This window comes from Homo sapiens, chromosome 16 (genome assembly GCF_000001405.40).
Source record: "Homo sapiens chromosome 16, GRCh38.p14 Primary Assembly".
Lineage (NCBI taxonomy): Eukaryota > Metazoa > Chordata > Mammalia > Primates > Hominidae > Homo > Homo sapiens.
The window spans coordinates 23,500,203-23,515,017 of NC_000016.10; the positions used below are offsets into that span (position 1 = coordinate 23,500,203).

Below are 14,815 nucleotides of genomic sequence, written 5' to 3' on the forward strand. Positions count from 1 at the left end.
GCCCCACAGCCAAGGGCTGGCCCTGCCAGCGTGCCTTTGCTGGGAAGAGGTATAAGTGCTGAGCTCTGCAGACTTGGAAGCAAGGGAAGGCCCAAGCTACCGGAGAGGAGCCAGGAGCCGAGCTGCCTCACGGGGAACATGCTGAGCTGTTGCTTGAGCACCAATGCCAGCCCCAGGTAGGGTCGGCCCAGGGGGGTCTGCGGAGCTGTACTGTGGCTCTGACATCTATGAGGCGGTGGCAAGCAGAGGTGCAGGCCAAGGCAGAGAGGAGTGGAGGCACAGCAGATGGAACACGCTGTTGCCCAATGCCAGCCCCAAGCGGGGCAGTGTGCGGGGCCTGGGGAGCTGTCCTGCAGTGCTGACATCTATGAGGCAGCGTCAAGCAAAGGTGCAGGCCAAGGCAGAGAGGAGCAGAGGCGTCGCAGATGGAACATACTGCTCCCCAATGCCAGCCCCAAGCAAAGCCAGTGCAGGGTGTGGCGGGTGGAACCGCCCTGCAGCTATAACATCACGCAGGCGGAGGTGGCAGTAGCGCCACACCCCACTGCTGTGGAGCCTGCCCAGTCGGATTTAGGAGCCCGCAAGGGCCATGACCTGCAGCACATCAGTGACCAGGAGATGCCCAAATATTTTGCTTCTGACCATCCAAGGGAAAGTACGCTTTTTTTGAGAAAATATCAAATGAGTGTGCAAGAAAAGAGGAGCTCTCACCTATATTATATATACCATGGCATCTTGATAGAAAATACACCTCGTGTTACACCATATTGCTAGATAACAGAACAGTCAGCCAGCCTGATCTTTGACACACATTAGAAAGTGTGACTTGGGCAATATATTACAACATAAAGCACAGATACGCAAATAGATCTCTGGCTATTTTTGACAAGCCAATACACCCACTTTCACAAGAGAAGGTTCCAGGGAAATCCTTCGAGCATGATCCCAAACACAACTGTACTTTCAGACATTTCTGTACTCTTTTTCAAGTCATAAAACTACAGCTCCATGTGCAATCGTAGCTTTGGTGTACATCGAACGACTTTTAACTAATGGTAGCATCGCTCTGTGTCCTACTAATTGGAAAAAGATTGTCCTTGGAGCCATGCTTCTTGCCTCCAAGGTTTGGAGAAATCATGGTCTGTGGAGTGTGGATGACAGCCAGAATCCCAAGGACATTGCAGTTGAGAACATGAGCAAGATGGAGAAGTGTTTTTTGGAGCTACTTGAGTTTAATATTCATGTGTCTGCCAGTGTTTATGCAAGATATTACTTCGACCTGTGTGCCTTGGCAAATGACCGTGACCTGTATTTTCTATTTAGTTTTCCTCACAAAGATAAAGCACAGAAACTGGAGGCTGTGTCATGGCCGTGTGAATACAAAGACTTGCATCAACATGCCGCTGCTATAAAGGGCTGTCAGCATGAATTTCATTGGTATTCGGTGCACTAATGCCATCTTAAAGAGAGAAATTAACATTATAAGATCCTAAACTTCTCAACTGTAAAGACTAGAAAATATCACTTCTGCTGAAAGAAACAACAAAATTAGGATTTTCTTTTTTTGTTGTTTAGGATTTTCATCGAGAGGAAACATCTTCAAGTTAGCCACTTGAAGGAACTGGGTGATGGTGGTATGAACAGTGGGTGCCAGGTGCTTTCTGCCCTTCTTGTTCCACTGGGTCCAGATGGCATTCCTAGGGCACCACCTTCTTGAACAACTCTTGGGGAGAAGGAGTGTCACATGGACACAGCACATCCCTGCTCAGAGTCCACAATCACCCACAGTCTCAAGCAGGTGCCAGTGATGTCCACAGTCACCCACAGTCCCTAGCATGTGACAGTGGTCTGAGCTGAGCTGGAGTCCAAAAAACTTTAGAATTGGCTCCAGATTTGTGAGAGCACCTGGGTATGGTTCTCTGCCCACTGAGGCACTGAATGCATGATGGCCCAAAACTCAACAATGGTGGGAAGAGAGAGTGGCATCGGGGCAAGGCTGTCATTACTCCAAGCACCAGGGTGGCCCAGGCCTGCTCATCTACTCTTTGGAGGGAATCTGTGCATGTGAAATGAGGCCCCTACGTCATGATTATAAAGGAAGAGATGAAATCAGTTCATCTTACCCCAGGCCGATAATGGTCATGCCACCTAGGGAAGCAGTAAAAGACCTGGTCTTGGGATTGTTAGGGGAGCTACCGAAGTGAAAACTGAATTTACCCACTTCCAGGAAAACAACAAAAGAGGAACATCTGGGTTCAAACCTTTATCAGAAGATCATTTACCCAGCTAATCTTGCTGTGGTGCATTGTATGGTCTCAGCAATTGTCAACAAAAGCCTCTTAATAATTCTAACACAGGGACACACTGCAACTCACATTTTCCAGTGCACCTCAGTGGTTAAAGAGATTGCTGGTGCTGCCTGCATCTGTCAGTCTGTTCACATATGGAGAGGAGCAGCGGTTCTCACGGGAGCAGCTTCTGCATCCTGAGGAAGTTTGCCCAGACATTTCTGGTTGTAATAGCTGGTGGCTCCCACTGACATGCAGTCAACAATGGGAATCCTATGGTGCACAGGACTGCACCCCTTCTCAGTCAAAAAGGAATTTTCTGGCTTCCAAAATAGAAAGTGCTGAGGATCAACTGCCCCAGAGTCTACAAGGGAAACACTTTCTGAGACTTTCTTTTTTTCTTACAAGAACACCAGATCCCCACCAATGTGAGATGTCAGATTAAGTTTTTGTGGAAGGGTGGATATTGGGGGCAGAATCCTAAGACGCCCCATGATCTCTGCTGTCTTTTGTTACACCCTGAATCCTCATCTTTCCTTGGGTATGGCCAGACCTGTGCCTTGTTCAGAACATTTGAATATGGCAAAGTGAGGGAGTGGCTCTCTGGGAGTTACCTTTCCTTTCCTTTTATCGGGAACAATAGGAATCCCTATTTTCTTTCTTGTGTTTGCTTTCACAATACAGTGGTTTGGAATATCCCACTGTCGATTTGCGATTTCCTCCTCCAACCATAGTCTATAGCCCTTTATACGTAATTGAATATTTTCATGTATTGATTTTTTGTGTCTGAAGATGAAATATTAGATGAAACATGTTAAAACATTTCATGCAAAGCCTTCAGTGGTTGTAGAGTCTACTCTTTGGTGAATACACAAATTGATCTATTTTATATATTAAAAATTGTATTAGTTGTAATAATGATATTTTCTTTTTTATCTTTACTTGTAAGATATAGTTACTTAAATGTTTCCAAAATTAATGATATTATATCTTATATTTGATTTAAAACACTACTAGGATATTTGGATTGATAGTTGAAAATAAATGGCAAAATAAGAATTGCTGAAACCTAGTGATAATGTACTTACGATGAGTTTATTATCTATTATCCCATCATTGTTAAATTTTTAAATTTCCATGAAAACCTATACACAAGAACTTAAAATGTTGTGTAAAATACTTCGTGCCCTGCACTTTAGCTCCACTGCATACTGAATAAAAGGAAAACGGATTTTCCTATGGGGGGAAAAAAGATTTATCATGGCTCAAAAGTAACAGTAACCGTCATTTTTAAAAGTACCTAATATGGGGCCGGGTGTAGTGGCTCATGCCTGTAATCCCAGCATTTTGGGAGGCCAAGGTGGGCGGATCACCTGAGGTTGGGAGTTCAAGACCAGCCTGACCAACATGGAGAAACCCCGTCTCTACTAAAAATACAAAATTAGCCAGGTATGGTGCTGCATGCCTGCAGTCCCAGCTACTTGAGAGGCTAAAGCAGGAGAATTGCTTGAACCCGGGAGACGGAGGTTGCGGTGAGCCAAGATCGTGCCATTGCACTCCAGCCTGGGTAATAAGAGTGAAACTCCGTCTCAAAAAAAAAAAAAAAAGTACCTACTATGGGTCAGATACCATGCCAGATGTCCTCAGAACAATCCAGGTTGGCACGATCATCTACACCATTTTACAGATGAAGAAACCTACCCAACCACAAAGCAAGGGAGTGGCAGAAACAAAAATTAAGTCATAGGCTGGCCCAGCTCCACAGCCTGGATGTGTTTCTAACCACTCTTGCGGTGAGGTCTTCAGTTCCTTGACAAAGTTAGGGCCTCTCTTGGAAGCCAGCTTGATCTTCGTGCTCATAAACTCCTTGAAGGCAAAAAGCAGGCCTGTCTCATTCACTCTCACAGGCTCTAGTACCTAGAAGAGTTGCTGGCAGGTATCTACTGAATGAACGATTCCTCTTTTGCTAGACAGTGTTTGGCCAGCTGGCTGGACATACTGATAACACGGAGAGATGGCTATCTCAGTTCTGAAATAACTGGGCCCCTAAACACATAATCCCAGCCTGCACAAACTATTTCAGAAGACTTGAGCAGCTCCAAAAAATGACCCCCAGGGGGCCAGCAGCTGGGTCTGACCAGGCCACAGCAACCGCCGTAGGTCTGTTTGACACCAATCTGCTCCAAGGACTAGCTAGGGGCCAGACAGGGCACGGCCAGGGAGAAATTCAAAGGATGCCTTCTCTGTTTTGGGCTATCCCAGACTCCAAGGTGGTTTATTTATAGCTGGCACTTGAGCAGGACAGAGGGGTGCTGAGAAATAGCACTGCTGCCATGTATTTCCTCACTAAAAGCAGTGTTTGTATGATTCATTTCAAGCGTGCTACAGGGCCAGAGGTGTTAAGAAAACAGCTGAGACCTCCGGCTGTGAGTGAAATGGCTCATCCAAGAGTGACTAATTCAGAAGCCAAACCATCCCACGTCAGCTGCCAACCAACCACCGGGGTCATGACCCTGGCACCAGCAGCCGCCTGTGCTAGCAAGGGGAGCCCCAAGACTGTGAGGAAGTGGTCACCCCGAGGAGCAGAATGCAATCCTTCAGCAGTCCACGCTGCAGGGGGACTCCTTCCCTGGGAGGGACACGTGGACCCCAAGAGTCCGGCAATCATACAATTCAGCACATGTGAAAACCTCCAAGACTCAGCATGGGAATGTCCTACTCATCACCTGGGAGTAGGACCAAGTGGAAGGAAGAAACAGATTTACTGAGCACCCAACTTTTACTAAGCCATGGCCTCCCTGGTAGCGCTACCAGAGCTAGAATTCTAGAGCCCAAGAGGACTGAGTGCTGTTTTTAATAGCGCAAGGCTAGCAACACCTAAGATGTCTACCAACAGGGACCCGGTTAAATGGATCCTAGGACACCCATACAACGGGGCGTCTAAGGCTTTTCATTTAAAAGAACAAGGCGGCTACATCTGCAGTCATGTGGAATAATGACCAAAATACATGAAGTGGAAAAAAACACCACAGAACTGAATGACAGAATGCACAGGCGCTGCCGTTTGTACTTTTAAGGCATGAGATTCTGGTAACGGCTTCCTGATACTCCTCTGGGAACAACCCCTCTCCTCAATTCCAGGTCCCCCATTCACCCTCCCCACCTTTGGCTCTGGGTTGGGTACTGTCCCCCACCCCACCCCACCCCAGGTCTGGCCATCTTCATATTTCATGACCCCAGGTCATGCTGACTCCAAGGTGGACATAAAACCCAAGCCAACAGGCGGAAGAACAATAACTCTTGCAAATCAATGGGGAAAAGAAATTCTGCTGAGATTGCAGTAGGGAGAAGAGCAAAGCAGAGAAAATTCAATCAAAGAAGTGAACCGTGGAGCTCCTGGACTGAGCCTACCCCTACTCTGGGACTTTCTTTACTTTCCTTTTTTTGGTAAGCGGGTATGGGTATGAGTTAGTTTCAATTACTTGCAGCTATAAAAGCCTAATGATAATAATAGCTAGCGCTTCTTGGGCACTTACTACAAGCATAGTAAGGCACTATTTTAAGTGCTTTCTGTGTATTAAAGCCTTTGATTCTCTCAACAACCCTAAGAAGAGGTTTTATTACTCTCTTCCCATCTTAAAGATACAGCTGCCTTGTTTGCAGGGACCTGATCTTGGCCAGTCCTCAGACACCACCCCCTGGTGACTTCATGTAGCTCAGACCCATGAGCTTTTGCCTTCAACTACACCCATGTCTTGGCCATACTATCAATCCCACGACCCCCTTATCCCTCCATTGCAGCACCAATGGCCCACCATCCCCAACAAATCTGACTTAACCCATCGTTCACTTCATCTTCTCTGCTCCTACTCCCAGAAGAAAACAACAACAAATACAGCCATGAAGACTGCAACCCACATTCCTGATGTCCAGTCAGCATTCTGCAGTCCTCACTCAGGAACTCAGCGGGGAGATGGGTAGGAGTGATCCCATCCCACTCAACCCTGGGGAAACATGGCAGTATCTGGTGACATTTTTGGCTGTTATGACTGGGAGGAAGGGTGTGAGCTTTGGTATCCAGTGGATTTAGCCCAGGGATGCCACTAAACATCCTACAGTGCACAGGTCAGCCCCCACAACACAGAATTATCGGGCCCAAGATGTCACTCGTGCAAAGGTTGAGAAACCCAGCTCTCCGTCCGGGTGGGCCCACTTCGGTTTGCCTCACCAGCCACTCCCCAACGCTTCCCCACCTTCCTCAAGTCCCCTGTTCCACTTGAGCACCCAATACTCAGGTGGCAATGGTGGCACTGACGAACTTGTTTGCATGTGCAATCATCTTGATCTCCTTCGCCAGACAGTCAGAAAAACAAAAGGTGTCCTTCCTCTCTGTGAGGCCAGGTCCCCCTTTTTGCTCTGGCTCTGAGCTCCTTCAGCACCTTCAGGCCCCTCTGCAATGGATGGGACACTGGACCCAGAATGGGGGAGGGGCAGTTCCCCAATGGAACATCAACATGAAGAGGGGCTCACATGTCCCCCTCTCCTTCTAATAATCTCCTTTACTCCTAAATTCCCTCTCGCTATTCTCTCCCCCTCCTTCTACATTCAAGACTCATGAAAAACAGCTGAGGAGGCCACTGGCTGCACCCTCCCCACACATTTATTCTGCCTGGCCTTCCCCAAATTATGGGCCAAAGTAGGCACCAACTTCTGAAAACCCACGATATTTCACTTAAGAATATAGGTTCTAGCCGTTCCTGAAAAACAGGAAGATCTAGCAACTTTGGGACACTGCCCCCAAAAGCTGGAGCTTAATACAATGTATATGCCATGAAAAAAACCATAATAATAAAACACAAATTAGGCCAGGCTCATGCCTATAATCCCAGCACTTCGGGAGGCCAAGACTGGCAGATAACTTGAGGTCAGGAGTTTGAGACCAGCCTGACAAACATGGTGAAACCCTATCGCTACTAAAAATACAAAAATTAGCCAGACATGGTGGCTAATGCCTGTAATCCCAGCTACTTGGGAGGCTGAGGCAGGAGAATTGCTTGAACCTGGGAGGCGGACGTTGCAGTGAGCTGAGATCGTGCCACTGTACTCCAGCCTGGACAAGAATGAAACTCCATCTCTCTCTCTCTCTCTCACACACACAAATTAGCCGGTTGTGGTGGCGTGTGCCCGTAATCCCAGCTACTTGGGAGGCTGAGGCAGGAGAATTGCTTGAACCAAGGAGGCAGAGGTTGCAGAGAGCCGAGATGGCACCACTGCACTCCAGCCTGGGCAACAGAGCAAGACTCCATCTCAAAAATAAATAAATAAATAAATAAAAATACATTTAAAAAAAGCTAGAACTGGGGAGGCTGATGTGGGAAAAATGCTTGAGCCCAGGAGAGGGGTAAGCTGCAGTGAGCTGAGATCATGCCGCTGCACTCCAGCCTGGGTGACACAGTGAGACTCTGTTTCAAAAAAAGCTGGAGTTGAAGAACTGTGTCCTTGGGCAGCCTCAGTTCCAGGCACTCCTTTTATCTCCTCCACCTGAGGCAGCTACTTTCTCTTACTCCGGCTACTTTTTTTTTTTTTTTTTGAGACAGAATCTCGCCTTGTCACCTAGGCTGGAGTGCAGCGGTGCAATCTTGGCTCCACCTCCACAACCTCTGCCCCAAGGGTTCAAGTGATCCTCCCACCTCGGCCTCCCAAGTAGCTGGAATTACAGGTGTGCGCCACCACACATGGCTATTTTTTGTATTTTAGTAGAGACGGGGTTTCACCATGTTGGCCAGGCTGGTCTTAAACTCCTGGCCTCAAAGGATTGGCCCACCTCAGCCTCCCAAAGTGCTGCGATTACAGGCATGAACAGCCTTTTTTTCTAATTTTTGCAACTCCAGTCTAAGCCTTCTGTTCTCCATTGCCTCCTAAAACTACTACCTTCTGTCTCTACTGTTTAACTCAAGGATGTCTCATTAAATAACTGGTTGGTTACCAAATTCAAAGTTCTCTCTTCTCCTTCCTCATTCTCCTCCATCTTTAAGGAGCAAAACTACGTTACAACCACATCCCTCCTTTGCTATCAGTGGGTGCCCCTGCAGGTCTCCCCCTGCCTGTTTCTGCTCAGCCTTCAGTCTTCTCTTCCCATCTGCCTCTTCAATGCTGGGGCTCCCCACGCTCTCTTTCCAAACCTCTGCTCTTAATATACGCAAGCTTCTCCCGCAAGCTCACTGCCAATGAACCAGACTCCCAAACCGTACGTCCCACACTTGCCCTCTCCAGTGCCAACCAGCTGCCTAGAGGGCATCTCTTTTTTGACTATGCCACAAGCACCTCAAACTCCACATCTCAACCTTCTCTGCCTAAACCAGCTCCTCCTCACAGGGGAGGCATCTGTAACCCACCAGTTCCTCGAGCCTGAAACCCGCGATCTAGCCTAGATTTCTCCTTGTCCCCTGTCTGCATTCCAAGGCACCGAGGCTGCTGACTACGCCTGCTCATTGCTTCTCCCTCTCCCCACTGCCTTAGTCCTCCTGCGGCCCCCAACCACCACCAAAAGAGCTTTTTAGCCGCTCTCCCTGCCTGAAGTCTCACCCTCTCCGCCCAATTTAGCACCATATGGCTGCAAGTGACGCCTTTAACAGGCTTCCTTGATCAGATTCTCCGGCTGAAAACTCCCAAACAGCAACCCCGCCCTCGGATAAAACATAAACTCCTTTCTGCAGCACACAAGGCTCTTGAAGATCTCGCCCCAATTAGCCGTGCAGCCCCTTTCCCGGATTCCTGAGCTTTAGGCTTGCACTCCAGCGGACTGACCTACTTGTTCCCGGAGTGCTCCACATTCTCTTGTCCCCAGCTTTTGCACACGCAGTTTCTTCTGCCTGGAATGCGGTCGGCTGTGACGACCCCCAGGTAAACCAACTCCTACCACCACAGGTGAAACGAACGCCCTCCTCCTCCTCGCCAATCCCGTTAGTAAGGTGATGTGACTGCCGGCTTGTACCCACTAAAAAATGTTTTGGTGAGCAAGGACCCTGTGTTATGCATCTCAGTGTTCCTGGCACCTAGCAGAGCTGGGTACAAGGGGAATATTCTTTATCCCCTTTGAACCTCAATCCCTCATTGGTAAAACGGAGATAATAATAACCCCTAAGATGACTGTGAAGCTTACAGGAGACATGCAGAAGAATTCTGGCCAAAGGGTTTGAGCCCAACCAGGGTAACATAATGAGACCCCGTCTCTTAAAGGAAAAAAAAAACACACATATATATATATACGCACACACACACACACGTGTGTGTGTGTTTAAAAAAAAAAGTCTGGCCAAAGTAAACACAAAAGGTAAAAAATTTCTTTTTGACGCGGTAGCCAGATAGAGATCTTTCTCAGCCCCAAACAGACTGCATGTCTTGCACGACTGCGTCTCCTTAAGCCTCAAGGTCCCCGCTTCCGTAGTGGGGTTAATAATAGAAGCCAGCTCGGGGTGGGAATGAGGATTAAGCAGGACTAAGCCGCTGTGAGCACAGTGCCTGGCGCAGGGGAAAGCGCAGGTCACGTAGCCATTGGGGTGGGGGTCGGGGTCCTGTGCTGCTGCTAAGTTGGGGGGTGGGCGGAGGGGGAGGGGCAGAGCTCAGAAGGGGGCCGCTGCCCCGGCGGATGCTTGGGGCTCCTCTCGGGGGACCCCTGGGCGATCTTCCCCACCGCGCCGGGCCCAGGCCCCCTACCCGGCCGCCGGCCTCCCCTGCGGCCGCCCGCCCCGAAGCAAGGCCCCGGGAGGCGGGAAGCGAGGCCTCACGTGCGGCGCAGCGGCTGCGCCGAAGGCCTGCCAGGCTACTCACTGAGCCACAGCTCCAGCGACGCTGCCGGGCCCGGGGGACCCTGGGCCGACTCGGTTCCCGCCACAGCCGCCGCCACCGCGGTCGCCGCCATCGCTCCAGCCCCGACGCTGCGGCCGCGGGCGCCACTGCCTCTTCAGCCGCTGTAGCGTCCTGGCGCTCTCCTCTGCTGACTGCGCGGCAGGAGCGGTGGACACGTGACGGGGCGGGGCCGCTGGCGCCACGCCCACCCCAGGCCCCCCCTCCACGCGGGACCGGCCGGAACATTTCTTAGTCCAGATCCCTCCACCCAGCGCTGGTCTTCTAAGACCACTCACCGTACGGTTGCCAGATAAAATACAAGACGCCCAGTTAAATTTGATTTTCAGAAGAACACGAATAATTCTTTTAGCATTTTTATTTTTTAAGAGACGGGGTCTTGCTCTGTCACTCAGGCTGGAGTCCAATGGCGCGATCACGGCTCACTGCAGCCTCCACCTCCTAGGCTCAAGCGATCCTCCCGCTTCAGTCTCCGGAGGAGCTGGGACTAGGGGAGGGCACCACCACGCCTGGCGTGTGTGTGTGTGTGTGTTAGAGACTGGGTTTCACCGTGTGTGTGTGTGTGTGTGTGTGTGTGTGTGTGTGTGTGTGTTAGAGACTGGGTTTCACCATGTTGCCCGGGTGGTCTCGAACTCCTGGTGTTAGAGACTGGGTTTCACCGTGTGTGTGTGTGTGTGTGTGTGTGTGTGTGTGTTAGAGACTGGGTTTCACCATGTTGCCCGGGTGGTCTCGAACTCCTGGGCTACAAGATCCTCTTACCTCGACTTCCCAAAGTGCTTGCATTTATTTTTTATTTTTCTTTTTTTCTTTTTTTGAGACGGAGTCTCACTCTGTCGCCTAGGCTGGAGTGCAGGGGTGCCATCTCGGCTCACTGCAACCTCCACTTCCTGGGTTCAAGCGATTCTCCTGCCTCAGCGTCCCGAGTAGCTGGGACTACAGGTGCATGCCACCACACCCAGCTATTTTTTTTTTTTTTGTATTTTTAGTAGAAACGAGGGTTCACTATGTTGGCCAGGCTGGTCTCGAACTCCTGACCTCGTGATCTGCCCGCTTCGCCCTCCCAAAGTGCTGGGATTACAGGGGTGAGCCACCACGCCCGGCCTATGTGCTTGCATTTTTATTCACAGAAGGGTTTTCCTGGAACACTTTTTTTTTTTTTCAGATGGAGTCTCGCTCTGTCGCCCAGGCTGGAGTGCAGTGGTGCTATCTCGGCTCATTGCAACCTCCACCTCCCTGGTTTCCTGGAACACTTCTAAACTAACATGTCCTGCATTCCTCAATACTCTGCTTTATTTTCTGCATCACACAGTACACCATCGATGTATTATTTACTTGCTTATTCTGTTAAAAGATAATTTTCCCAAAAAAGTATGTCATGATTATCATAATTATGAAATGAATACGTGTTAAATATTTTATTTAATTACATGAGGGAACCAAGCAGATGTTATAATCAATCCAAAAGTGAAGTCAAAGAAGGGCAAATTTATCTGGAAAAAAAGGAAGATAAGACGAATGTGCAAATGGAGGCAAAACTGGCTTTTCGACCGGGGTGAGAGCTGTCCCTCCAGTGAGCGGAATTTACCTATTTATAGGCAAGAATTATTTTGCATTGGTATCAACTTAACAGAGTTATGAGACTTCTCAAAGACAAAGAAAGGCTAGAACCTGGAAGGTTGTGCTGTCTAGACAACACATAATTTTCCATTGAAGCTGTTGTGCCGTACCCCTATTAACTTCAGTAGGGATGGCACCATGTTTGAAAGGCGGAAGAAGAGACCCAGAGCCACTGAATGAGGCAGGTTTACTGAGGGGACTTACGGGGTGGTCTAGTGGCAGTGGGCTGGACAGGAGGACCACTACCATTTGTAAAGAGCATCAGTTTATATAGTATTTTCAACTAGCACCCTTCCCCTAGCAACCTCCATCTGGCAACCTCAATTTAACCCCAAAGGGCCTTGATCCCCCGTATGGCCTGCGTTCCACAGGATGGGGCCAAGGGTTCAGATGTTCCTCTTAGATAAAGAGTGAACCTCTGGGCTGGCCACTCTGTGATTCTGTAGCTTGGAACTCAGAACACACATTCTTCTTAGACCATAGGTACGTATGCCATACAGAAGCACAAATTCTTCCTTGTAGATAACTGAATAGCAATGGGTGATGATTCTTGTCCACACACAAGCAAATGAATACTGTTCTGGGAACACACAGACTTCTTGTGGAAAAACCAGTTCTGCCCCCACTTGCACATCCATTTCAACATTCCTGATCTATACATGATGTCCATTCTTTGGACTGGTTTGAACATCTCACCAGTTTCCTCATTAAGGAGTTAAAGAAAATCTTTTTTTTTTTTTTTTTTTTTTTTTTTTGAGTCTCGCTCTGTTGCCCAGGCTGGAGTGCAATGGTGCAATCTCAGTTCACTGCAACCTCTGCCTCCTGGGTTCAAGTGATTCCCCTGCCTCAGCCTCCTGAGCAGCTGGGAATACAGGCGCCCACCACCACACCCGGCTAATTTTGGTATCTTTAGTAGAGACAGCGTTTCACCAGGTTGGCCAGGCTGCTCTCGAACTCCTAACCTCAGGTGATCCGCCCACCTCGGCCTCCCAAAGTGTCGGAATTACAGGCGTGAACCACTGCACCTGGCCTAAATAAAATCTTTAATACATATTTATCTCTTGAAGATTCTGAACATCTGGCAACACTGGACCCGGCTTTCCACATTTCAACAAAACCTGGACGTGACTAGAGTCTCCACATGCTACAGGGGGCATGAGCTCTACAGTTTGCCAAGGACCATCCTTCAACTCCTGAAACTTTACTTATTTTAAGCACCTGCAATCCTTTAACATTTTTACATTGTTGGAGCTCAGAAAACCATATCCCAGAGCATGGTGTTTTGGCATAGCGAGTACTTTGAACTCAAAGACAGTGGAAACCCTCAGAAGCAGCCTCAGAGCAAAGGTTCTCTGACCTCCTGCCCGTCTTTCTTCTCCCAAGGCAAGCCACAGAAACTCAATTCCTCTTTCCCAAGATGGGTCAGGGAAACTCAAACCCCTCTCCCCTAAAGCCAGCCACAAAACCTAGACATATTACTCCAGCCTTCCTTTATTTCTGCTTAAGAGTTGGCCATAAAGAAATTCTCAGTCGGGCATGGTGGCTCACACCTGTAATCCCAGCACTTTGGGAGGCTGAGGCGTGCAGATCACTTGGGTCCAGGTGTTCAAGACTAGCCTGGGCAACATGGTGAAACCGCGTGTCTACAAAAAAATACAAAAATTAGCTGGGTGTGCTGGTGTGTACTTGTAGTCCCAGCTACTCAGGAGGCTGAGGCAGGAGGACCACTTGAGCCTGGGAGGCGGAGGTTGCAGTGAGCCGAGATCACACCACTGCACTCCAGCCTGGGCACGGAATGAGACTCTGTCTCAAAAAAAAAAAAAAAAAGAAAGAAAAAAAGAAAAGAAAAGAAAAGAAAAAAAAAGCAATTATCTGAGCTACTTTGTCTGATAACAGGTGGTCATGCCCCCTTATTCCTGCCCTATACCTAGGAAGAAGGAGTGATATACAGGTAAGCCAAGAAGAATTTGGACAGGCCTTGCTGGATCCCCCCACCTAAGTCTAATAGATCACTCATACCATTTTGTTCAATCCTATTTCTACCTGGCTGTTGGTCATCAAACCTAAATATAAAAGTAGACAGCCTTCCCTCGGTCTTTATTTCTGAAAGCTCCCATGTCAACATAAAACTTTTTTTTTTTTGATGAAACTTTTTTTGATGAAGTCCTGTCGCCCAGGCTGGAGTGCAGTGGCTCGATCTTGGCTCACTGCAACCTCTGCCTCCCAGGTTCAATTGATTCTCTTGCCTCAGTCTCCCGAGTAGCTGGGAATACAGGCACCCCGCCACCATGCCTGGCTAATTTTGGAATTTTTTTGTAGACACGGGATTTCACCATGTTGGCCAAGCTGGTCTTGAACTGCTGACCTCAAATGATCCGCCCACCTCAGCCTTCCAAAATGCTGGGATTACAAGAGTAAGCCACTGTGCCCGGCCTGTAAAACTTTAATTAAATAAATCTGTTATGCTTTTCTCTTGTTAGCCTTTTTTTTTTGAGACAGGGTCTTGCTCTGTCAACCAGGCTGGAGTTCCGTGGCACCACCAGAGCTCACTGCAGCCTTGACCTCCCAGGCTCAAATGATCTTCGCAACCTCAGTCCTCAGAGAGTAGCTGGGATAACAGGCACACACACCACCGCTCCCAGCTAATTTATTTAGTTTTGTAGAGATAAGGTCTCACCATGTTGCCCAGGCTGGTCTCAAACTCCTGGGCTCAAGCAATCCTCCCAAAGTGCTGGGACTACAGGCATAAGCCACCATACCTGGTCTTAACCCGTCTTTTTGTTATAGGAGTGTTGGCCATGACCCTTTGGAGAGGTGAGGAAAGATGTAAGGTATAGATGTCCCACAACATCTAGATCAATGGTTTTCAAACTAGCATGTGTCAGAATCAGGTTTGTTGCAAATTGCAGGGCCCCGCCACACAGTTTCAGATCTAGTACGTCTGGAATGAGGCCCCAGAATTTGTCTTTGTAATAGATCTCCATCTGACATTGATGCTGATGGTCTGGAGACCACAACAGAAAGGATAAAGGCTAAGTGGGTAG

At 48.6% G+C, this 14,815-nt stretch overlaps 1 protein-coding gene and 1 pseudogene across 3 annotated transcripts in view, besides 6 other annotated features; one reads left to right on the forward strand and one right to left on the reverse strand.

Moving 5' to 3' along the window:
• GGA2 (golgi associated, gamma adaptin ear containing, ARF binding protein 2) overlaps positions 1-14,815 on the reverse strand; it is a 60,818-nt gene that overhangs the window by 36,661 nt on the left and 9,342 nt on the right. The window contains exon 1 of one of the 3 annotated variants that reach the window (NM_015044.4): positions 10,119-10,292. The exons of 1 other annotated variant lie outside the window; for it this stretch is intronic. In NM_015044.4, the coding sequence (NP_055859.1) occupies positions 10,119-10,209 (91 nt within the window). In that variant the 5' untranslated portion in view covers positions 10,210-10,292. Of the gene's footprint in view, positions 1-9,095; positions 9,469-10,118; positions 10,293-14,815 lie in introns of those variants that run through there. One more of the 3 variants, XM_047433802.1, reaches the window with a different exon arrangement.
• Positions 288-950: an enhancer, noted in NCBI's record as "H3K27ac-H3K4me1 hESC enhancer chr16:23511811-23512473 (GRCh37/hg19 assembly coordinates)". NCBI's record gives its function as "activates a minimal SCP1, AML or CMV promoter by ChIP-STARR-seq in primed H9 embryonic stem cells {active_cell/tissue: H9 hESC(primed)}" and the evidence as "EXISTENCE:reporter gene assay evidence [ECO:0000049][PMID:30033119]".
• Positions 637-1,463, forward strand: CCNYL7 (cyclin Y like 7 (pseudogene); annotated as a pseudogene).
• Positions 4,256-4,757: an enhancer, noted in NCBI's record as "H3K4me1 hESC enhancer chr16:23515779-23516280 (GRCh37/hg19 assembly coordinates)". NCBI's record gives its function as "activates a minimal SCP1, AML or CMV promoter by ChIP-STARR-seq in naive H9 embryonic stem cells {active_cell/tissue: H9 hESC(naive)}" and the evidence as "EXISTENCE:reporter gene assay evidence [ECO:0000049][PMID:30033119]".
• Positions 4,758-5,257: an enhancer, noted in NCBI's record as "H3K4me1 hESC enhancer chr16:23516281-23516780 (GRCh37/hg19 assembly coordinates)". NCBI's record gives its function as "activates a minimal SCP1, AML or CMV promoter by ChIP-STARR-seq in naive H9 embryonic stem cells {active_cell/tissue: H9 hESC(naive)}" and the evidence as "EXISTENCE:reporter gene assay evidence [ECO:0000049][PMID:30033119]".
• Positions 9,979-10,148: a silencer, noted in NCBI's record as "silent region_7276". NCBI's record gives its function as "represses an Ori minimal core promoter by ATAC-STARR-seq in GM12878 lymphoblastoid cells {active_cell/tissue: GM12878}" and the evidence as "EXISTENCE:reporter gene assay evidence [ECO:0000049][PMID:35858748]".
• Positions 10,219-10,448: a silencer, noted in NCBI's record as "silent region_7277". NCBI's record gives its function as "represses an Ori minimal core promoter by ATAC-STARR-seq in GM12878 lymphoblastoid cells {active_cell/tissue: GM12878}" and the evidence as "EXISTENCE:reporter gene assay evidence [ECO:0000049][PMID:35858748]".
• Positions 10,519-10,568: a silencer, noted in NCBI's record as "silent region_7278". NCBI's record gives its function as "represses an Ori minimal core promoter by ATAC-STARR-seq in GM12878 lymphoblastoid cells {active_cell/tissue: GM12878}" and the evidence as "EXISTENCE:reporter gene assay evidence [ECO:0000049][PMID:35858748]".